The sequence below is a fragment of the Homo sapiens genome, chromosome 2, assembly GCF_000001405.40.
Source record: "Homo sapiens chromosome 2, GRCh38.p14 Primary Assembly".
NCBI classification, from domain to species: domain Eukaryota; kingdom Metazoa; phylum Chordata; class Mammalia; order Primates; family Hominidae; genus Homo; species Homo sapiens.
This window is the reverse complement of record NC_000002.12, coordinates 234,137,337-234,161,331: the sequence shown is the minus strand read 5'-3', so window position 1 is coordinate 234,161,331 and position 23,995 is coordinate 234,137,337. Positions and strand designations below refer to the sequence as shown.

At 43.5% G+C, this 23,995-nt stretch overlaps 1 annotated feature.

Moving 5' to 3' along the window:
• Nucleotides 3,688-3,860: a silencer, noted in NCBI's record as "fragment chr2:235066116-235066288 (GRCh37/hg19 assembly coordinates)". NCBI's record gives its function as "represses an EF-1alpha promoter that drives an FKBP-Casp9 reporter gene in an ReSE screen in K562 erythroleukemia cells {active_cell/tissue: K562}" and the evidence as "EXISTENCE:reporter gene assay evidence [ECO:0000049][PMID:32094911]".

Here is a 23,995-nt window from a genome sequence, read left to right as displayed (position 1 = left end):
CACTTTTCTCTGTCTATGAGATTACTCCCATCTGCACAAAAACACGCTATCGTGTCCTCCGTATTCATAAAAACTCCTTTGACCCACATTCTCCTCCAGCAACTAACCCATTTTGCCACTTCTGTTTGTAACATATTTCCTCAAATAATTGTCTTCATTCAAGGTTTCCCCTTCTTTCTGGAACCCTCTCCATTTAGGCTTTTACCCCCATCCTCTCTGTGGAGCTGCTCTCTTGAGGTCACCAGGGACCCTCATATTGCTAAAACCAACAATCCATCCCTTAGCCATCTTCCCTAATCTGCCAGCAGTTTTTGACCTAGTAATCACTTCCTCCTTCCTGGTGCACTTTCTGCCCTCATCCTCCAGACGCCAGGCTGCTCCCAGTTCCCTCCTGCCTCAGTAGAGCACTTCCTCGGTCACCTCAATGGTTCCGTTCAAATCCCCAACCTCTTCATTTTGGAACAGCTGAGTCCCCTCTCCTCTCTATCCACATTCACTGCCTAGAGATGTCATTCAGCCTCATGGCTTGAGGCATCCTCTGTGCTGACAGCTCCCTAATCTGTAATTCTAAACTGTTCCTCTTCCTTTAACTCCAGTCCCCTATCCAACTGCCTACTCAACGCTTTCATTCAGACGTGTAGTTAACATCTGATATGGCTTGGATATTTGCGCCCTCAAATATCACTTTGAAATGTGATCTCCAATGTTGGAGGGGGCCTGGAGGCATTTAAATCATGGGAATGGATCTCTCATGAATGGCTTGGTCCTCTCCTTGAGGTAATGAGTGAGTTCTCACTCTATGAGTTTGGACGCATTGGCTCATGCCTGTAATCCCAGCACTTTGGGAGGCCAAGGCAGGTGGACCACCTGAGGTCAGGAGTTCGAAACCTGCCTGGCCAACATGGTGAAACACAGTCTCTACTAAAAATACAAAAATTAGCTGGGTGTGGTGGCAGGCCCCTGTAATCCCAGCTACTCTGGAGACTGAGGCATGAGAATTGCTTGAACCCAGGAGGTGGAGCTTGCAGTGAGCCAAGATCATGCCACTGCACTCCAGCCTGGGCAACAGAGCAAGACTCCATCTCAAAAATAAAAAATAGGCCGGGCATGGTGGCTTATGCTTGTAATCCCAGCACTTTGGGAGGCTGAGGTGGGCAGATCACAAGGTCAGGAGATTGAGACCATCCTGGGTAACACGGTGAAACTCCGTCTCTACTAAAAATACAAAAAATTAGCCAGGTGTGGTGGTGGGCACCTGTAGTCCCAGCTATTCGGGAGGCTGAGGCAGGAGAATGGTGTGAACCCGGGAGGCGGAGCTTGCAGTGAGCGGAGACTGCACCACTGCACTCCAGCCTGGGCGACAGGGCGAGACGCCATCTCAAAAAATAATAATAAAATAAAAAATAAAAGAGTGTGGCACTGTTCCCCCCACTCCCACCATATGATATGCTCCTCCTGCTTCGCATTCTGCCATGAGTAAAAACTCCCTGAGACCTCATCAGAAACCAAGCAGATGCTGGCACCATGCTTCCTATAATATAGCCTGCATAACCATGAGACAATTAGACCTCTTTTCTTTATACATTATCCAGCCTCAGGTATTTCTTTATAGCAATGCAAAAATTGATCAACACGACCTCTTAAGTTTAACATGTCCAAAGCCAGACTCTAATGTTCCCCCACCTCAGTTTATTCCCCTTGATGGCTTTCCCGATTTTAATAAATGGCAACTTCATCTTTCTAATTGCTCAGGCTAAAGAGTTTGAATCATCTCTGAGTCTTCTTTTTCTCGTATTCCACATCTCATGCACCAGCAAATCCCATTGGCTACACCCTCAAAAGATATCCAAACATGTCTGAGTTCCAACTGTTTATCCCATTTTCACCACCACCACCCTGATCCAAGCCACCCCACCTCTGGCCTGGAGTATTGCAATAAAAGCCTCTGAGCTGTTCCTCTTGCTTCCACCCTTCCTTCCCTGTAGGTGAACCTTTTAAAACATCATCACCCCACTACATTTGGAGTGGTCTGTTCTGCAGCTATGGGTAACTGTAACACACATCTTTATATTCTTAAATAAATTTGGTTCAGGCCCCCACTCAGTAAGGCTCACTAAGGCTGTTAGGATATTCTATTTCAGCCATGCTTTGCGGGGCGGGGTTTTCATCATCCTTGGGATGTAGAACAAGAACTTGAAATAATTTTTTGTCCTAATTACTTTGTGAGTCATCCATCTTCAGCAGGAAGTCCTCTTTTCAGGCAAACCCTGGGGCTCATCATTCACAAATGTTTATTGAACCAGGCTCTGTTCAGACCCAGAGAACACAGCAGGGAACCAACCAGACCAAGTCCCTGACTGCCGGTAGCTTACCTTTTAGTGAAGCAGCCCCACAGTAAATAAATCAACAACACTGACTAAGTTTGAAACCTTCTTGTTTAGTGGGGTGGGTTTGCTGATAAATCTATTACTTGACCACACATCCTCTCATTGTGCAAACCATGGGAATTCTTCGATATGCAAAGAATTCACAAAGGCAAACCAACAAGATAGGATCATCCAACTCTTATAAACTGAGGCACGTGTGTGTGCCTTGACTTACTTTTCCTGTGTAGTGAAGCTTTGTTCTCACTTTGGGATTGGTCTTTGTTTCCTCTGACACCTGCATTAGAAGTTTGTCTGATCCTCTACCTCTCTGACAATTGGTTACAATCTGAAAACAATCAGGACTGGAAATGCAGGAAGACTTGGTATAATCTAAAGACCTATCATTAATGTGTACCTTTCTTTTTTTTGGTTAATTTCAGGCTTTAATTGCCTATATAATTATCATTTTTAATGTACTTGCAATCAAAGACACGAACAATAAAATTTAGGTCAACCATAGATTAAATTGTGGAAGAAATGAAATTTTCTAAATTTGGTCCTGTCTCTCTCTCTCTCTCTCTCTCTCTCTCTCCTTTCACCTTTGTCCCAAGTATCTGCATTTCCTCCATTCATTCCTCCCGTTCCTCCTATAGGGTTAGATGAACTCAGGGGAATCACACAGCCTGTGGTTCCCCTGAGTTCCTCCTACCCCCATATTTCTGAGATCTCCACTTCCATTCATACCATCCAAGCACCTCATAGGACACTTTCCAATTTAACAGGGAAAACAGCCCCTAGACTGTCAGTCATGGAGGGGCCTTCAGGGATGACTTGGTCCAGCCCCCTCATTTTGAAACTGAAGAGTCTGAGGACTAGAGAGATGGGGTGATTTGCCCAAGGTCAGCAGAATCTTGAAGCTGGAGTGAAACCTTAGGGAGGGGATGGGGGAGGGGCTTTTCATACACCTCTGACAGCCCGGGAGAATTATGTTTTAGCAAAGAGGCCTCAAATCACACCCTGTAGGCAGTTCTAATCAAACTGCAAACTCTAAATATAATTAGTGTGAGTGTATTTTGGAAATCCTTTTTACTTAGCTATATCTTCAATTATTAAGAATCTTTTGTTGGGGCTTGTATTTATTTTCCTTAAATCTAAAATGGTTATTTCTCAAGGGCAGAAATTTGATGATTTTTCTCTTTAACTTTTCTCTTTCAACTCTTTCTGCGCTGCTTAAATTCTAAAAAATAAGCAGACATGATTTTTACAGAAACAAAAAGGAATTTTTTTAAAAAAAATTGAATATTTTAATGATATATCTCACTTTAATTACACAGGTAATTACAGGTTTGCAGACCTGATCTTACAAAATTGGGTTAAAAACTAAATATGTGATCGAGACCATCCTGGCTAACACGGTGAAACCCCGTCTCTACTAAAAATACAAAAAAATTAGCCGGGCGTGATGGCGGGCGCCTGTAGTCCCAGCTACTCGGGAGGCTGAGGCAGGAGAATGGCGTGAACCCGGGAGGCGGAGCTTGCAGTGAGCCGAGATTGCTCCACTGCACTCCCGCCTGGGCCACAGAGCGAGACTCCGTCTCAAAAAAAAAAAAAAAAAACTAAATATGTAAGATGATAAAAGAGTAGTTTTTTTTTTTTTAATCTTAATGTAAACAGCCCTTGAAGCAATGTGAAAAGTCTACAGATATATTTTGGCCTGAGCACACCTTAGAGTAGTTGGTTCTTGAATCACTCTGGACTGACAAAAAGCCCTTTCAGAGAGCAGCGCAGGTCTGCTGGGGATTGATCTATCATTGAACTATAATTTTTAAGGACTTCTAGATTCATCTAGAAAGATGCACAGAAACTGTTTGGAATTAGAGGAAAGAATCCAGGTAATTCCCAAGAGTAAAGCAATGAAATTAATTAAGAGAAGGCCATTGCTGGAAAATAAAGATTTAATAGAAATTCCCCTAGTAATTGTTGTTAAATGCTCAATATAAGACCTAGTACATAGTCAGCACTCCGTAAACTTTGGCAAACATTGTTTTTATTATATACTCCTGTCAACCCAAAGAAAGAAACTGAGCCAAAATTAATAGAATTTATTTGGGCCAACAGCTTCCCAGCAGACACTTCTAAGTTGCTCTGGGGAGCACTCCCTTTGACCTTTGTTACAAGCAAGGTTTTAAAGGCAGAAGGGGGACAGGGAGTGGGCTGATAGAAAGTTATTGTCAAATTCTTATTGGTTTACAGAAATAACATTGATTAGTGATTGGCTGTACATTGGTGAACTATAGGGTGTATGGCACTTTATGGCTACTTGGCGTCAGTTAGTCTAGAGCCCACATAGCAGGTGGCTTCAAGAGGTAATTATTTAGCTCAAGAAGGAGTGAGACGTGACTGCTGTCACACGCTATCACATTTCATTGCCCCTCTGGGCCTGGTAATTAAGGGGGGCTCACATTCCTCAGATAAAAAGTTTCTTTTCTTTCTCACTCCTGAGGACTATAACTCCCAAAGTGCTCTGAGCCTTGTCTATCCTGCCTCCCTGACTATCCTCATCACCTTTCTCCTGTGCTGCTTATGAGCAGAGATGAGAACTGGTGGGGAAGGGAAATGCAGCCCCAAGGAGAAGAGGTGGCTGACCCACACAATTCTCTTGCTGATACAGACCCCAGGTGCCTAAGTTAGAAGACAGAGTGATTTTGAAGAAGAAAAAGAAAGAGGAGGGGAAGAAAAAGAAAGAGGAGGGGGAGGAGGGAGAAAAGGTCATCCCAATTTTGTTTAGGGAAAGACTCGGAATAGCATTGGTTGAATCACCCAACTGATGTTTATTTGTTTACTTGTTTGATTCTACCCAGCTTTGTTTTCTGTTGTGATTGGTGTTAATTCCTCCCAGGTCATGGCATTAAGACTTTTGTTGGTTGTTACCACTTCATGTTGCAATGAGTTTTACTATTTTCCTATTTTCTTAGCTGTGTTAGTGAGAAATTAGAAGAGACACTGTATTATTTTAAACTGGAGATCTGATAACATTTCTGAGCGATTCTTTGAGCTGTTTAGATTTCGATCTAGAAAGACATCAAGTGTTGCATCGAAAGGTCCTACACAGTTGATTAAAATACATATAGTACATTATTTCTCGTGCCTTAAAATTATCTGAAGCTTGCAATGCATGTTCAGGAAAAGGATGAAATGACTGTGATTCAACAGTAACCAAGTAAAAACTTTTCAGGTAATAATATTCTATTTTAAGAACAATCTGAGAGCTGATAATACATATTGCAATTTTAATGAGTTAAAAATTATTGTATCATATATGAAGTGAACCATATGCAACTGTCATTTTTGTGAGTCAGAAAAAGAGTTGTATATTGACAATTTCATATGGTCCATCCTAGGAGTTGGATTTTTTACCAAACATTTATTGAACACCTACTATATATAGGACTCTGCTGTGGGGCTCATAAAATTGAGGAAGACATTGCCCTCGCTCTCCAAAGAGGTGTGGACAACATCCTTGAGGAAGCTGCAGGGCAAGGTGGCTGTCCCGAGAGAAAACTCACCAGAGAATCGTTTGAGCTACTCGTAGAGGTGATAGTGACAGGTGGACAAGTGAGATGCAGAGGCATGTGGACATGCATTATTGAAGCTCAAGGACCCTACAAAAGGTGCTGAAGATAACAGGTACCCTACTTCACAGAGAACAGCCATGACTGCCACGGGAAGCAATTGCTGGCAGTTGTGTGCTCCGTATGGCAAAGTCACTGGATAACAGCTGCTGACCAAACTGTGATTGGTGGGGCAGCTGGGAGGATTCACCGTCAATTGGCAGCAGGTGGGCTCCACAGCCCACATCATAACCTGGCTCTGGTGGAGGGTGGTGACATCAAGGAGTGCTGCAAAGGCCACCATCATTGGCCATGGCCAAAGGAACCAGCACTGGAAAAAGGGAGAATATCCTCCTGGGAAGATGGGGCTCCACTCGCCCCACAGCAGTCCACCCCAGGCTTCCAGAGGAAGCAAGAAAATGATGTTCTTTCATTATAATCCTTCACTCTGAAAAAAAGATAAACAATTTTTCAAAAAAAAAAAAAAAACCTACTGAGTTTGAAAACCCAAAATCTTAGGGTGAAGGCTCAGATCAGCCATGGAGTTTCATCTTTAGCAACCTTAGGATTCCCAGTGGAGACTATGGCCACTGTACAATGTATACATCCAATGGCTGTAGGAGCTTCCATCTGATATAAACCTGCTCAAAGGAAAGACAGGCATTTGAAATTGCTTGAATTTTCTCAGTGAGTATGTGCACTTTAATTTACCCTTAATTGTTTTGTGTTTGGCAAAAGGAAGCCATTAAGGAGAGTCAACAAACATCAAATCTTTTAAAATGTTTACCTGCCTGGGCAACATATGGAGACCCTGTCTCTACAAAAAGATTTTAAAAGTTAGCTGGGTGTGGAGGTACATGCCTGTAGTCCTAGTTATTTGAGAGGCTGAGGTGGGAGCATTGCCTGAGCCCAGAGGTTAAGGCTGCAGTGAGCAGTGATCGTGCCACTGCACTCCAGCCTGAGTGACAGAATGAGATTCTGTCTCAAAAAAAAAATACTAAACAAAACAAAAACACCTTTAAAAATGTTTAAATATCAAAGCAAGGATGAGTAAAATGAATTGTAATACAATTAGGCATAAAACAAGATTAATTAAATACAATTTACATAAATATATGGTAATCTAAGCTAACTAAAAGGGAAGAGGAGATTCTCTTTATTCAGCCATAAAATTATCAATGAAGATTCATGAGCATCTGTTGAGATGTTCAATATTAAGCCAGATACACAAATTGAAAATATTATATCTTGTAGTTACAGGGAGGAGGATTCCAAACTGAGATGTTGAAAATCCTGAGATAATACAATCATTACTTTCTTACTAAAGAAAATGAGTAATATGGCTTGGCTGTGCCCCCACCTAAATCTCATCTTGAATTGTAGCTCCCATAATTCCCACATGTTGTGGGTGGGACCCAGTGGGAGATAATTGAATCATGGGGACAGTTTCCCCCATACTGTTCTCATGGCAGTGAATAATTCTCACAAGATCTGATTTTTTTTTTAAGGGGAAAAACCTTTCGCTTGGCTCTCATTCTCTTCTCTTGTCTGCCACCATATGAGACATGTCTTTTGCCTTCTTCCATGATTGTGAAGCCTCGCCAGCCACATGGAACTGTGAATCCATTAAACCTCTTTCTTCTGTAAATTGCCCAGTCTCAGGTATGTCTTTATCAGCAGCATGAAAACGGACTAATACAGTAAATTGGTACCAGTAGAGTGTACTGCTGATGAAAAGATACCTGAAAATGTGGAAGAGACCTTGTAACTGGGTAACAGGCAGAGGTTGGAACAGTTTGGAGTGCTCAGAAGAAGACAGGAAAATGTGGGAAACTTTGGAACTCCCTAGAGACTTGTTGAATGGTTTTGACCAAACTGCTAATAATGATATGGACAATGAAATCCAGGCTGAGGTGGTTTCAGAGGGAGATGAGGAACTTGTTGGGAACTGGAACAAAGGTGACTCTTGTTATGTTTTAGCAAAGAGACTGGCAGCCTTTTGTCCCTGCCCTAGAGATTTGTGGAACTTTGAACTCAAGAGAGATGATTTAGGGTATCAGACAGAATAAATTTCTAAGCAGCAAAGCATTCAAGAGGTGACTTGGGTGCTGATAAAGGCATTCAGTTTTAAAAGAGAAACAGAGCATAAAAGTTTGGAAAATTTGCAGCCTGACAGTGTGATGAAAAGAAACACCCATTTTCTGAGGAGAAATTCAAGCCAGCTGCAGAAATTTGCATAAATAACAAGGAGCCAACTGTTAATCACCAAGACAATGGGGAAAATGTCTCCAGGGCATGCCAGAGACCTTTGTGGCAGCCTTCCCATCACAGGCCCTGAGGCCTAGGAGGAAAAAATAGTTTCCTGAGCCACGCCCAGGTCCCTCTGCTGTGTGCAGTCTAGGGATTTGGTGCCCTATGTTTCAGCGGCTCCAGCCATGACTAAAAGGGGCCAAAGTACAGCTTGGGCCATGGCTTCAGAGGGTCCAAGCCCCAAGCCTTGGCAACTTCCACATGGTGTGGAGCTTGTGAGTGCACAGGAGTCAAAAATTAGGGTTTGGGAACCTCCGCCTAGATTTCAGAGGATGTATGGAAATGCTTGGATCTCCAGAGAGAAGTTTGCTGCAGGGGTGGGGCCCTCATGGAGAACCTCTACTAGGGCAGTGTGGAAGGGAAATATGGGGTTGGAGTCCCCACACATCTACTGGGGCACTGCCTAGTGGAGCTATGAGAAGAGGGCCACCATCCTCCAGACCCCAGAATGGTAGATCCACTGACAGCTTGCACCATGAGCCTGGAAAAGCTGCTGACACTCAAAACCAGCTTGTGAAAGCAGGCAGGAGGGAGGCTGTACCCTACAAAGCCACAGGGGCAGAGCTGCCCAAGACCATGGGAACCCACCCCTTGCATCAGCATGACCTGCTTGTGAGACATGGAGTCAAAGGAGATCATTTTGGAATTTGAAGATTTGACTGCCCCGCTGGATTTCAGAATTGCATGGGGCCTGTAGCCCCTTTGTTTTGGCCAATTTCTCTCATTTGGAATGGCTGTATTTACCCAATGTCTGTACCCCCATTATATCTGGGAAGTAACTAACTTGCTTTTGATTTTACAGGCTAAATAGGCAGAAGGGACTTGCCTTGTCTCAGATGAGACTTTGGACTGTGGACATTTCAGTTAATGCTGAAATGAGTTAAGACTTTGGGGGACTGTTGGGAAGGCATAATTATGTGAAGACATGAGATTTGGGAGGGTCTAGGGGCAGAATAATATGGTTTGGCTGTGTCCCCACCCAAATCTCATCTTGAATTGTAGCTCCCATAATCCCCTTGTGTTGTAGGAAAGAACTAGTGGAAGATAATTGAATCCAGGGGGCAGTTCCCCCTTACTGTTCTCATGGTAGTGAATAAGTCTCACAAGATCTGATGGTTTTTTAAGAGGAAACTCCTTTCACTTGGCTCTCATTCTCTTCTCTTGTTGTCACCATGTGAGACATTCCTTTTGCCTTCCACCATGATTGTGAGGCCTCCCAAGCCACATGAAACTGTAAGTCCATTAAACCTCTTTGTTTTGTAAATTGCTCAGTCTCAGGTATGTCTCTATCAGCAGCATGAAAATGGACCAATATAATGAGATTTTTCAAATATGTGGAAATGTAATCAGTTCATGGATAGCTGCCATGAAGTCCCTTTTATAATCCAGGGGTAAGGTAAGAGGACTGTTTTGCAGGTAATATTAGTATATCTCTCAAATGTAATCAAGGAAACCAGTGTACTTCTAAAATTCACCAAAAAAAAAAAAAAGAGGCTTCACTGAAATTGACCATGGAAGAATTGATCATTGATGAATACATATAGACAGATAGATAGATGTAGATATAGACACATATATAGACACACATAATACACACACACACACACACACACACACAGATATATATATCTGTGTGTGTGTGTGTGTATATATATACATATATCCATGTATGTGATGCAAAAATAAAGTCATAATTGAATCTGTTAGAAAATTTTTGCCACAAAGTAACATGATTCAGATGAGAGGCATAAAAATGAATGGGTAGAAGAAATCCTGTTTCTGATGGCCACTAATAGTCTGGTCTCAAACTGACTCAACCGAGGAACAAAGGCTCGTTAAACTCATCATAACAGGCAAAACTGTATGTCCTATACCAAAATCTACAAAGTAGGCATTCAACAAACATTTGCTATTATTAACAAACGTTAGCTATTATTAACAAACGTTAGCTATTATTAACGAATGTTAGCTATTATTAACGAACGTTAGCTGTTATTAACAATTATGTTTTAAAAGCGCTCATCAGCTCCTGTCGTGCAGCTTATGCTCACTGACATCTACTTGGTGACTCCATTTCTTAGGTTCTTTGCCATCTGGAGGGAATACAGCCATGGACATGCTAGTGGTTAGAAAGGTTAATGCCAATATTTCCAGTCCCTTTCCTTCCAGGCACTGTTTTTCCCTGCTCCCTGGAGATTTGATGTGGCTGCATGCTTTGTTTTGGCCCATGAGCTGTGAGTGGAGGTGGCTGTGTTACTTCAGGGGAGAATGTAAGTAGCAGCGGGAGACCCTCCAGCATGCCCTCTCTCCCTCTGTCATCAATCATAACAACATGGTTGATGTGGAGGTGCAACACCAAGCCATTGCTTGGAGGACAGCTGCCCCAGCCTGCTGTGGCCTTTGCATCAATGAGAACGAAAGCTTTGTTGCTTTGAGCCCCTGAGTTAGAGCTATCATGGTGGCATAGCCAGGCCTATCCTGATCGATACAAACTCTAACAGTAACCAAATTTTAACTCGGATTGTAATTCGATCTCTTCTAAGTGTAGTTAATATAAATAGGTTTCCCAAGGCCTTATAAATTTTTGGAGCAGTTGAGAACATGAAATGTCTAAATCTTCCAAGCCAAAAAAGAGGTCCTGAAACTGCAGAGACCCTGCTGGGGTACAAATTGCAGGAAGAATCAGCCTTGTCTTGTCAACATTCCCCAAATGGAGGATCAGGACGGGGCTGCGGACCTCAGCTCAGGAAAAGTTCTTCACCACAAATAGAGGGAACCAAACATTCCCTCTGTCCAGAGCAACTATGCACAATGCAAAGCAGTGTCAATCCAGCCCCAGGCTGCGTGCTCTGGGCAGAACTTGACCTCAAATCAGAAAACGGTTAAAGTCTCCATCATCCATGATAGCTGTGACATAGCCCACAAAGTACCATAAACTCAGTGTGTGTGTGTGTGTGTGTGTGTGTGTGTGTGTACGATCCTGTGCACTAATTTTTATGCAGCCTGAAGTCTGAAAACCACAGGAAGGAAACATGGGAACTTTTATATGCACATGTCTGGTTCTTAACTCATTTTGTCCCTAGGAAATAATCACATCTCCAGCAGTAGACCTGGGCTCTTTGAAAAGCTGTAGCAAAGGACTGTGCCACCTCTTCTCATCCCTCCATGTCAGTATTGCCTGCAGTGGTCTCAGGACTACCTTTCCCTCCTGGGCTTCTGATAACTGCTGTCATAAACCCAAGAGTGGAGCTGTATGTTACATGGAGATAAGAATCTAAGTCCATTCATAACTGACATGCACAGATATAACTGCAGGACAACTGTTGGGTTATTTGCCAATCTCTCACTCTGTACTGTCTTAGTCCATTTTCTGTTGCTGTAATAATATCATAGACTAAGCAATATGTAAAGAGCAGAAGTTCATTTGGCTCAGTTTTGGAGGCTGGGAAGTCCAAGAGCATGGCTCCAGAATCTGGTAAGGCCCTCTCTGCTGTGTCATAACATGATTGAGGGCATTGCATGGTGAGAGGGCAAGAGCATTCCAGCTCAGGCCTCTCTCTTCTTATAAAGCCACCAGTCCCACCATGTGGATCACACCCTGATACCCTTATCGAATCCTAATTACTTGCCAAAGGTGTCAACTTCAAATACCATCTACATATGAATTTATGGATTAAGTTCCCAACACATGAAATTTGAGGGATGTATTCAAAGCACAGCATGTACCATGGCCCTGAATGAGAAGAGGAGTATTTGGCCTTATTTTTGGCCTGAATTTTCTTCCTTCTTGGAGTTGATCCTGTCAGCCCCATAAATCTGTTTCTGTGCAATGTGTTGGCCCACAGATGATGCTCATCTATCTTAGCCCATGACACACAGTTTCTTCTTTTATTAGAATATACTAATTGCAAAAAGACTTTGCCTGAAATCTCTTTCAACAGCCCCAAGGCTTTACCTGCGTTCTTAATGAGGTAGGACTTTCCTTCAACTACAATAAACTCTGTATATTGGGGATGCTGAGAAGGTCTAACTGACGTAGCAGAAAAGAATACTGTCCTAAATAAACCACTGGAAGGCCCTCTGTGCAGAAATGATTCTGGCTCCTCTGAGCCATTGAAAAGAGGCTGTTTTCCACTGCAAGTGAAGTTCATGACCAGTGCATTCTGCCAGACCAAAGCCAGACAAGGTCTGCCACCTATCTGCTTTGGAAATCAGCCTCAAGGTGTAAGAAAATGTTTTTCTGTTTTTGGCCAGCTAGTCCATTTCCATTTTAAATTTCTCCACTCCTGCAAAACAGCATGGAAGCCCCAAATGAGCATGTTGAGGAAGGAAAGGAGACTTGTCCCTGACTTGTACCCAGTATGCTGGAGCTCAGACTCAGCAGGGAGCAGGCTTTTCTTTATTTCCCTTCATTTTATATTGTTTTCACTTCTCAGGATGCCACCCTGGGACCCCAGGGAAGTCATACAGCTTGGACAGCAAAGAGAGAACAGCTCCTCAAGTTGTGGGGAGAATTGGATGAGACTGCACTGTATTGGGAGTTTGAGTAAAGGCTCTAACGTAGTCTACTGCTTGTTTGAAGAAAAGGAGATACTCAGAAGGTAAGAGAATGCCACTACTAAATGTCCTTGAGTAGGAGTCAGCTCTTCTCCTCCCATGTCTTGTCCTCCCAACGCTACATACCTGGGAAGGAATCCCAGAAACTTGGACAAGTGAGGTTCAGAGTTGGCCTCAGCACAGCTAGGTCAGCTCCTGCCTCCTCAGAAGGACGGGAGGAAACGCATTCAGATCTCTTTCCTCTGTGAACTTGCCCTTGTGAGGGGTCAGCTGTGGAATAAGCTCCCTTGGGGTAGAGTCTTCATGGCTGAGAACCTCCTGAAGAGGCTACTCTGAAACCTAGAGGGAGAGAAAGAGGAAGACCCTGGAACTGCATTGGGAGTAAATTATAGAACTATGAAACACCATCATCACGTAACTCAAGGAAGATGGGCTTGAGTTCAGTGCTGGGGAAGCCATGGGGCTAATTTTCAGATTAAGTTTATCTAAAAATTGCTTAGTTTAATGATTAATCTGACAGCTGAGATGCACTTCAGCTTCCAGAGAGAGAATAAACAGCCTTATTCTAAACAAATATTCCTCACACTTGATTGTCCAGACTTGATCATGAAGGGCAGACTCCACCCTCTTGCTGATCACTCTATAATTAAACTTTCTGTGCCCATCAGGGCAGAAACACTGTGAAAAGCATTTTGAAGAGTAAGATGATTCTAACCTGACTTGTCTGAAAAGCGATGTCAGGAGTTATGACTTCCTGTGCCTTTGATCTCCTTATCTGAGTCTATTATCTAAGGGTGCCAATTAACATTTACAGTTTGTGGTTAGATGCCTTGGAAATGCTTCACTGAGTGTCTCCAGGAGCCCATGTCAATTATTTACTGGTCTTAATAAGTTTCTCTTCAGCATTTTGGTCCTTAGGGGTCAATGCCAACTCGGAGCCCCTGGGTCTGGATTACACCACTTGTTCCCACAGAACTAAACTTGGAAGAAGGAATCATGAATGCTTTGACAGTCATTCCCTAAGACCTGTGCTTCACCTAGTTTGTTTGATAAATGAACCTGCAGCACAATTCCCTCATGCCTTCCCCAGGCATGGGTGAAAATTGTTCCCCGTTTATTCATGGCAGTAGCTCCACAAGCATTCTCACTGGTGAGGCACTGCATCCTCTAGTCACAGTCAGCCCCCAGCAGGACGGAGTCCGAGCTCCTGCAGGATTTGTTTTTTTTTTTTAGATGGAGTCTCACTCTGTCACCCAGGCTGGGGTGCAGTGGCGCCATCTCAGCTCACTGCAACCTCTGTCTCCGGGGTTCAAGCAATTCTCCTGCCTCAGCCTCCCAAGTAGCTGGGATTACAGGCATGCACCACTACACCCAGCTAATTTTTTTGTATTTTTAGTAGAGACAGGGGTTTCACCATGCTGGCCAGGCTGGTCTTGAACTCCTGACCTCGTGATCTGCCCTCCTCAGCCTCCCAAAGTGCTGGGATTACAGGTGTGAGCCACTGTACTTGGCCTAGGAAAATTTTTAAAGACATGCCAGAGCATGAAAAAGCAGCTTTATAAATAACAATTATGCTGCTTGATATTTTATAAGTGCATTCTCTCCTATGATTCCTTTCTTCCCCCAGTGGTTCTATGAAACAATCAGTACAGCCCTTAGAGACCCATTGAGGAAACTCACTGCTCATTCTCCCTGGTAAAGGTGAAGATAAATGACCCCATGTGAGCCCAGGCTAACATTTGGGGCCATCTGGTGGCTCCATCCCACAGGCAGCATGATCCTTACTCTTCCTTCAACATTGACTTTCTGGATGACCTTTGCTGACCTTGGGGCAGCACACACTCGTGAATGTTAGAAAGTCTCCCTCGGTGTCTGTGAATATGATTAATGTCTGCAGCACTCTCTGAACACACACAGCTTCCTGTTAATGAGAAGCAGAAATGGGAGACAGGATGTGGTCTTCCCTATCCTGAGTCAAATTCCGGGCCCTAGTCATTTGGCCCGTTCCTGCTACTCTCTTGTCAGAGACCAGGACATGGAAAACACATTGATAGTTTCATTTTATAAGTTCAGCACAGGGCCTAGCACAGCACTTTGCAGTTTAGTAGCAAATAATTCTATGTTTACTGAATGAATCCAGTGTATAAATTTTTAAAATTGATGGCCTGGTAAATAGTTAGACCTTTATTTATTTATTTATTTATTTATTTATTTATTTATTTATTTTTTGAGATGAATCTCACTCTGTCGGCCAGGCTAGAGTGCAGTGGCGTGATCTGGGCTCACTGCAACCTCTGCCTCCCGGGTTCAAGCGATTCTCCTGCCTCAGCCTCCTGAGTAGCTGAAATTACAGGTGTGCACCACCATGCCCAGCTAGTTTTTGTATTTTTAGTAAAGACAGGGTTTCACCATGTTGGTCAGGCTGGTCTTGAACTCCTGACCTCATGATCCACCTGCCTCAGCCTCCCAAAGATCTGGGATTATAGGCGTGAGCCACCATGCCCAGCCAATAGTTAGACCTCTTAAGAAGAAAGTTAAATAAGAATTGTTATAACATGTTTTATTGATTCTATATGTTTTTGAGTTTCAGTCAACAGTGGGTTTGACAGGAGAAGATGGAGCTCCTGCTAGTAAATGCAGTAGAACCCTTGCTATCATTGGCTTAACCATTCTGAATTTCCACAGACTGCCAAGACACTTTCTCATTCCATTCTCCTCCATGCAGAAAATCAACCTAATCTACTGTCACCAGGACCACACTGTAACTGCCCAGCAAGTTCTCTTCCCCACTGCCCAGATGGAACCAATTTATCAAGACAGGGGAATTGGACTACAGAAATAGTTTAATTCACATAGAGCCAGCTAAATGGGAGACCAGAGTTTTATTATTACTCAAATCAGCCTCCCCCAGAATTTGGAGGGTAGGGTTTTTCAAAAATAGTTCGGCGGGCATGGGGCTGAGGAATAGGTGCTACTGATTAGTTGGGCATGCAATCATAGGGGTGTGGAAAATGGTCCTCATGCACTAAGTCCACTTCTGGGTGAGGACCACAGTACCAGTTAAGTCAAGAGTCATGGATCCAAGTGGTGCCATCCAACCCTCAAAAGTGCAAAACCTGAAAAGACATCTCAAAAGACCAATCTTGGGTTATACAATAGTAATGTAATTTACAGGAGTAATAGGGAAAGTTGTAAATCTTATGACCTCTGGAATAATGGCTAGTAATTGTTTAACTATGCCTACATCTTAGTGGAATTCAGGCCCCTCTCATTCTCCCAACCTAGTGACTTTTCATTAGTGTTACAGAGGCAGTTGAGTTTTAGGAAGGACTACTGTCATTTGAACTATAAATTACTCCCAAAGTTAGCTTGGCCCATGCTTAGGAATGACCAAGGGCAGTTTGGAGGTTAAAGGCAAGATGGAGTTGGTCAGATCAGATTTCTTTCAGTGTCATAATTTTCTCAATGTTATAATTTTTGCAATGGCAGTTTCAATACTATGATTTTTGTGAGTCCTTTTGCCTTTGTGGGTCCCTCTCATAATAATAGATTTTTGTAGACCCTGATATGGGCTAAATTGTGTTTCCCAAAATTTCATATGTTGAAGCCCTAATCTCCAGTACTTCAGAATGTGACTGCATTTGGTGATAGGGTCTTTAAAGAGGGGACTGAGTTAAAAAGAGGCCATTCAGGAGAGTCACTTAAACCCGGGAGGCAAAGGTTGTGATAAGCCAAGATCGCGCCATTGCACTCCAGCCCGGGCAAGAAGCACGAAACTCCATCTCAGAAAAAAAAAAAAAAGAGGTCATTAGGGTGAACCCTGATTCAAAGACTGGTGTCTTTATAAAAAGAGGAAATTTTGATACAAAAAGATACACAAAGGGTACATGTGCACAGAGGATGACTTTGGGAAGAAGCAGCAAGTGAACACCATCTATAAGTCACGGAGAGATGTCCCAGGGAGTCAACCGTCCTGACACCTGGGTCTTGAACTTCCAGCCTCCAGAATCCTGAGAAAATACATTTCTGCTGTTTAAGCCACCTAGTCTGTGGTCTTTTGTTCTGGTAGCCCCAGCAAACTAATGTAGTTTCTAACATTTATCATTTATTTTTGATGAGAGAAAAAAATTGAAACATTTTTCACCCTAAAAGTTCATTTTTTTCTTCTGGTTTTAGAAGAAATTGAAACATTTTTGTGGGCTCCTAAAAGTATCATGGCCTTTCAGCCATGAGCCTCCTGTCCTGATGGAAAAGTTGGCCCCGATGATCATAGGACCACAGAGAATGACTGAACAGTTTTATGATGAAACTCATTTTCCATCCCTATATTCCTCACGAGTCTCTTTAAACACCAGCTCACATTTTATTATGGCCTAAAGCTAGACCACTGAAATAAAAGAGCTTGGCCATTTTACAACCCAGCCTCCTTAGAGAATCTTTGAGGAGTGAGATAATTTAGAAATGCTTTGATAAACACCAATTTAAAAATCAGCCACATAAGTCTCAGATAACTGTTCGTAGTCTGAACAATGTCACCTCCAGGTGTCTGTGCCCCAGCAGTGGGTCATCATGCAAGCCCTTCATTAAACTCACTTATGCATTTGAAATCAAAATAGGAAATCAGAGGTGGAAATGATTAGCAAGAGGTCACAAATAGTGCTTTATCTTGCATGGAACAATTACATAAATTTTATGTGAAACTTTGCTGAGACAGAGGGTTTATTAATTGGATCAAGAATCTACTTGAGCTCTTGCTTTTACCACGACAATGGCTCCTGTTTGACAGGGCCTGGGCAAAATTGGGCCCAAGCAAGAGAAATTCCGTGGTGGGATATGGGTTCTTCCAGGATGCGGAGGGGTGGGCGAGAGCATGTCACAGGGAGGAGAGAGTGCCTACAAGGAAACAGGGACATGGACAGGGCTAAGTAAGGAGTACGAGAAGGGGAGTCAGGACTCAAAGGCAGAAAAGTGCTCAGGGAGGGCTTTTGATGCCACCAAGTAAAGGAGCATGAACTTTATCCTTGGGGCAAACTAGAGCCATTAAAGGATCTTAAGGAGGAGGAAAAGAGAATTAGTTTACATCTGGGAAAGAATATTCTGGGACAGGGTAGAGAATAGACTTAATGTGGTGAATGAGAATAGAACAGAGAGCTTATCCGGAGGCCTGTTAAGATGGGCCTTGGAGGGAGATGATGGAAGCTATGGCAATCGGTTGGTGATGGTTTTGAGTTTTATTCTTTCTGTCTCTCTTTGTGTACAGCTCACCTGATACAAGTTTAGCTCAAATGCCTGTTTAGATAATGCACAGTCAGACTAAGCCAGAACCCAGGTAAAGGGCTTCTTTAGCTCTTCAGAAGATGTTAATGCCAACAGACCCAGCAAGCCCCTTCTTCCTTTTTGAAGAAAACAAATTGGCCAAACTGAGATGTTGGGACAGGGGAATGTAAAGACGTATAGGAGTTGGAAAACCCCTGCAATTTTTGGATGTTTTTATGGTGTGAGTGGCCTGTGACCACGTGCCTGAGACCTAGTCTGGCATCACACAAATGCCCAGGCTGCATGGATCACAGCAAAGAGGTACTTTTTGTTTTTTTTCCTGGAAGTGAAATAAAGGTGTAACTGTGGAGAGGCTAGGAAAATAAACAAGAGTATTATTGTAACCCACCCAGCTCCTAGAACATGGCAGGAGCATTCTCCAAGCTGATAGGCACTACAAAGCACTCCAACTTTCCTAAACATTCCAAAAAGGCATTTATTTGTCTTAGTCAGCTAGGCTGCCCTAACAAAATACCACAGAGACTAGGTGGCCTAAACAACAGAAGTTTATCTTCTCACAGCTCTGGAGGCTGTAAGTCCAAGATCAAGGCGTTGGCAGTGTTGGTGTCTGGTGAGGGCTCTCCTCTTAGACTGCAGACGGCCGCCTTCTCACCATGTGCCCACATGCCCTCATGACATTTTCTTTGTGCACAGGCAGAAGAGAAGGAGAGGGAGCTTTCTGGTGTCTCTTACAAGGACATTAATCCCATTGGATCAGGACCCCAACCTTATGACCTCATTTAACCTTAATTACTCCCTTATTCGAAATACAGTCACATTGGGGGTTAGGGCTTCAATATATGAGTTTGAGGGGGATACCACTGAGTCATAACGATGTCTCTATGTGTCACATCTCACAACTATAGTCCATCCAAGCCATCCTGTAGGTCAGGAATTGTCAGTGCTAGACAAGCCAAGTTTCTAAAATCTCTTCTTCCCTGCAATGAAAACTTCAAGGCTCATGCAGGCTATGGGGGCCACATTATACCTGCTCTATCCCCCACTTATCATGTGAATTCAGGGCTGATCTTCACAGATCCCAGTTCCCAGGAGGTCCTGATGTTTCCCAGAACATAACATGTGAACCTGTGTAAAGTGGGCTGACTAATGGCTCCCCAAAGACGTTTACATCCTGATCTCTAAAGCTTGTGAATGTGCTACCTTACGTGGCAAACAAGGAACTTTGTTCATAGTGATTAAGGATCTTGAGATGAAGAAATTAACGTGTGTTATTGGGGTGGGCTCATGTGATCACAAAGTCCTTATAAGAGAGAGGTGGGAAGGTCAGAGTCAGAAGAGGAGATGTGAAAATCAGACACAGAGGTGAGGGGCAGGAGGGAATTTGAAGATGCAATGGTACTGGCTTTGAAGATGCAGGAAGGGCTCTTCTGCCTAAGAATGCAAGTGGCCTCTGGAAGCTGGAAAGGCAGGGAAGTGGATTCTCCTCTAGAGCCTCCTGAAGGAATATAGCACTGATATCCTATTTTAGACTTTTGCCCTTCATGACTATAATATAATAAACGTTGTTGTCTTAATTCACAGAATTTGTGATAATTTCTTATAGAAGCAATAGGAAACTAACACACTGTGTAGGAAATTGCATTTCATCTATTCCTGGGCTGTAGAGCTGTCCTTTCTGGTGGTGTGATCCTTCTGCTCGAGGGACTCCACATCCAGCCAGCCCATGAGTAAACTGCCATACTCATAACTTCTTCATCTTCGACAGGAAATTGAGTAGTTCATTGGGAGAGACTGTATCTGGGGATGCTAGCTCAATGCAATTTTTAAACCACAAGTACATTACTACTGCAGTTTGATAGATTTTTAATAATATTCAAAACAAGAATAGTTGCCATGGCAAAATATCATAAATATCACTTAAGCAACTCTCAGAGATGCTGTTGCCTAAATAATTAATTGCAGTATTGCTGTTTTTGCTGCCCTTAGGTAAACACTGGCTGTATGTGATCTTTTATAAGATGGTTGAATCTACATAATGGATCACAGTTGTATTTACTTTTGGTCCTTTTAAGCTTCCAAGGAAATGCATGTAGCTTTAAGTAAGCTCTATATTCTTAATTTGATCAAGTAATTGATGTTGCCCCAGAGTGACAGGTGAGAACTTAAAAGAGATGACCATTTTCAGCTCTATACATAGACGAATGTTCTATGAATGACAGCTGGGGAATGAGAACCATAGAGAGAACCATTATGTGAATTACACAGGATGGTGTGATATACTGGTGAGATCTTTCCTTGTCCTGCAAGAGTTACTGGATGATGCAGCATCTTCCCTGAAGATGGACACTCCTACAAATGGCCACCACTCCCCAGCACTACTGTCAGAGAAGACCTGATTCTCAGCAAGGGCGGGACTCCCTGTGTCCCATGGAAAAGAGAAGCCAAACTGGTTAGAGGCTTTGGACATTGAGAGAAGCTCTAGAAGAGCAAAGGCTGATTGCTTTTTGTGCAGCCGACACTGAGTTTAAAGAACCAAAATCCATACATTCCCCCTCATCTCTCCATGGGACCTCCACTTAAACGTCCTTTCCTTTAAGATCCAGGATACCATCGCTAAGTCAGAGAATGGTGACTTCCTATACTCCAAATTCAAGGAAGGGAAGAACAGATTGTTCTTTGGTGGTAGCAACAAGTAACCGCCATGATCAGTTTTAAAGCCATTCCAATCAATCAACAGCATCTTCACATCAGTAGCTGCACCTCTAAAAACCAGCCAATCAGTAACAGTTAAATCCCAGTAGCCACAATTTCACAGCTACAGGACAACTCACCTTGCCTCCAAAAGTCCTCCAATCCCTGAAGATCATAGTTCTCAAACCCTATATAAGTCAGCAGTTTGTTTCTTTAGAGACTCACGTGTCCAACTGCATAGACCTCCCTTGCTTACAGGGCAATATACTCAACTTTTGGTTCCAGATACCAAGTAATACCCTCTTTCTTCGACAGTAGTGGTTGTTTCTTGTTTGAAAGTAGCCGAGCCACTCACCCCACAGAAAAAGTCCACTGACTTTTCTGTGCTAATACATTTTTAATAACCAGTTCTCTGGGTAGAAGACAACAATCCTGGTGTACAGCTCTTGCCAATTCCTGTGGTGTAAATACTCCCAGCAGGACATATTTCAAACTACCAAGGAAACATCAATCTGCTCACAAAATTCCTAAAAATCTAATCATCAGCTCCTATGAGCTGGTCCAAGCTGGCTCCCGCATACCACTGACTAAGGGAGAGAGTGCCAGGGTAGAAAAGACCCATTGTTATCCCGGGTAGAGTGGCCTTAATTGGCCAGAGCTCCCATGCCCACACACTGTTCCCACATAAGAGCCCGAGCAGGATGCCTGCTGCAAAAGGAAATGCATGGCTGCTTTGTGCGGACAGAAAATCCACCTCGGTCACAAGAACAGCACCTTGTCGCCACCGAGGGGGGATTGCCATGGAAGGGAGCAATGGTTCCCCTCAACCCAAAGGGGATAGTCAATTGCCACATAGAGAAGGGGATAGATTTTCCTCTTTCCTTCTTTAATGCCCCAGCCTCAGGCCAGGAAGAAGGAGGCCAGACACAGCACCCTTCATTCCACACCATGACAGCCACAAGCGTGGCCAGCCCAGAGAGCTTTAGATCAAATATGAGACTGAAACTTTTAAATTGAACAAGATTGAATTGTAACAAAATGAGACTCTGCTTTAGTAACTGGACATGCCTAGAAGGTTGTGGAGTCCACCCGAGATTGTGGGAAGGGAGCTTGCTGTCTGGTGGAAAAGGCAGATGGGGCTTGACAGAGCCCAGATACAATCAGATCCTGTACATGAAGGAGTGAGGCCCCTGTCACAGCACTGCCCTGGGAGAGGCCTGAAAAGATGAGTCTTTGAAACACCTTCCCAGTAACTGCCAGACCCCTGCCTCTCCGTCTAACTCCATCCTCAGCTTCACCCTGCTTTACCATGGCCTCTTAGATACCGCCCCGGCCCCAATCCGGTGCAAGTTTAGGCTGGTGTACGTTTTGGTGCCATGCAAAGCCCTGCTTCACGCCATTGCCCAGGGATTCAGGATGCTGGCAGCTATGCCACCTTCACCATGTGGCTTCCAAAGTCAAGGTCTTCTTGGACATTAACCTCCAGCCGGCAGACGGCCAAAGAATATAGAGGTTGGGACATGGGGAGTGTCAGCAGGTCAAGCCTGGAGATGGTCTACATTAGCTCTGCCCAGAAGCCATTGACAAGGTGCAGCTATGACCACACCTACCTGCAAGCGAGGCTGGGAAATGTGACCTGGCTGGGGCTCAGGGAGAGGAGGAAATGGCGGGACACTCAGTTGGGAGTTTCTGCCTCAGCTGCTCCCCTTCAGAAGTCATTGCTCCTGACATTAACAGTTTTTACTTCCAACTGTTTCTTTCTTATGCACATTTCTGTATTTTTCATGGAATCATTGACTGCTTTATAAAACTGCTTATTTCACAAGGCGTCTTATGAACATCTTTCTTAGTCAACCGATACTTCCGAATTTTAATGACTGCCTCAGCCTCCCAAAGTGCTGAGATTACAGGCGTGAGCCACCGTGCCCAGCTGAAAAATGTTTTAGATAAAATAGGCCATTGGGTGTACATGCCATCCTGTAGTTAATTAATCAGGCTAACATGTGACAGGACCTCACTTTTTCCTTAATTTTCCCCTTTTTTAATTGAACGTCTCATTTATTTTCATTTTTTTTTAAGTAATTCACATGCTTGATGTTTTGAGGCATATCCTGACCACTCTGGTTGTTAAAAACACAAGCATGGAGCTTAGTGTATTTGAGGTTGGGGGAAGGAGTTGGGGACAGCCACACATCAAATAATCACATATATTAGTATATAATTACTAATTAAGATGTTACGATGAAGGAAGGACGGTGGTGCTGGAGGGCATTTCAGAAGGTCTTGACTGAATGACGGAGGGATCGGGAAGGCATGGCCACAAAAGGCTTCCCTAAGAAAGTGACATTTTAGCTAAAATCTGAGAATAGTTCCAAGCCCTTCTAATCACTGTAGTTTTCACACTATCTTGCCAGTAGTTTAAAATTCGATGCTTTAAAACTTAATTTGAAAGAGACGATATTTTGTATCCAAATAACACCAACAGCAAAAGACATGAATTTAATTTCTACTTGCAAGCCAGAGTCTCCCGGCACAGGAGGCTGCCCATGCCGCCTCATGCCTGCCATCCCTGGAGAGGACCAGATAGATGGTGCAGAGCCCCACTGTGCCAACCAGGGACCTTTGGGACAAGGAGCCAGGCTGAACCCAGAACGTCCCAGCTGGGGGCCAAGTGCTTCTGGGTGGAGTGATTTTGCCATTGTGCTGGCGCCAGAGGGCTGTGAAGACTTACGTTCACATGCCCCTTTGAGGGGGTTTTACCAGAATTAAAGGGCTTTCATGGCTTGACCTAATTGTCCTGGGCTGTGGAATTCTTTTTGGTTCCTAGTCAGTGTTCTCACCAAGACCCAACTAGTATAACAAACTTGCTATCGTTGCAGGAAAAAGAACCCATCTCAATGAAATGAGTCACTGGTTGGAAATGTAACCTGCAGGCATTGGAGGCTGTTCTAATTTCTCAAAGAACAAAGGCAGGCAATTTGACAGCTTTTGTTGACTGTCATAGAAATTTCCTGTGAGAGGGAGTCAGTTGCTTCATCTCAAGGAGGTCTGAAGAGGTAATAAGTTGTTTTTTTTGTTTTTTTTTTTTTCAATTGAACAAAATTTATCTAAAACATTTTTCAGCTGGGCACGGTGGCTCACGCCTGTAATCTCAGCACTTTGGGAGGCTGAGGCAGGCGGATC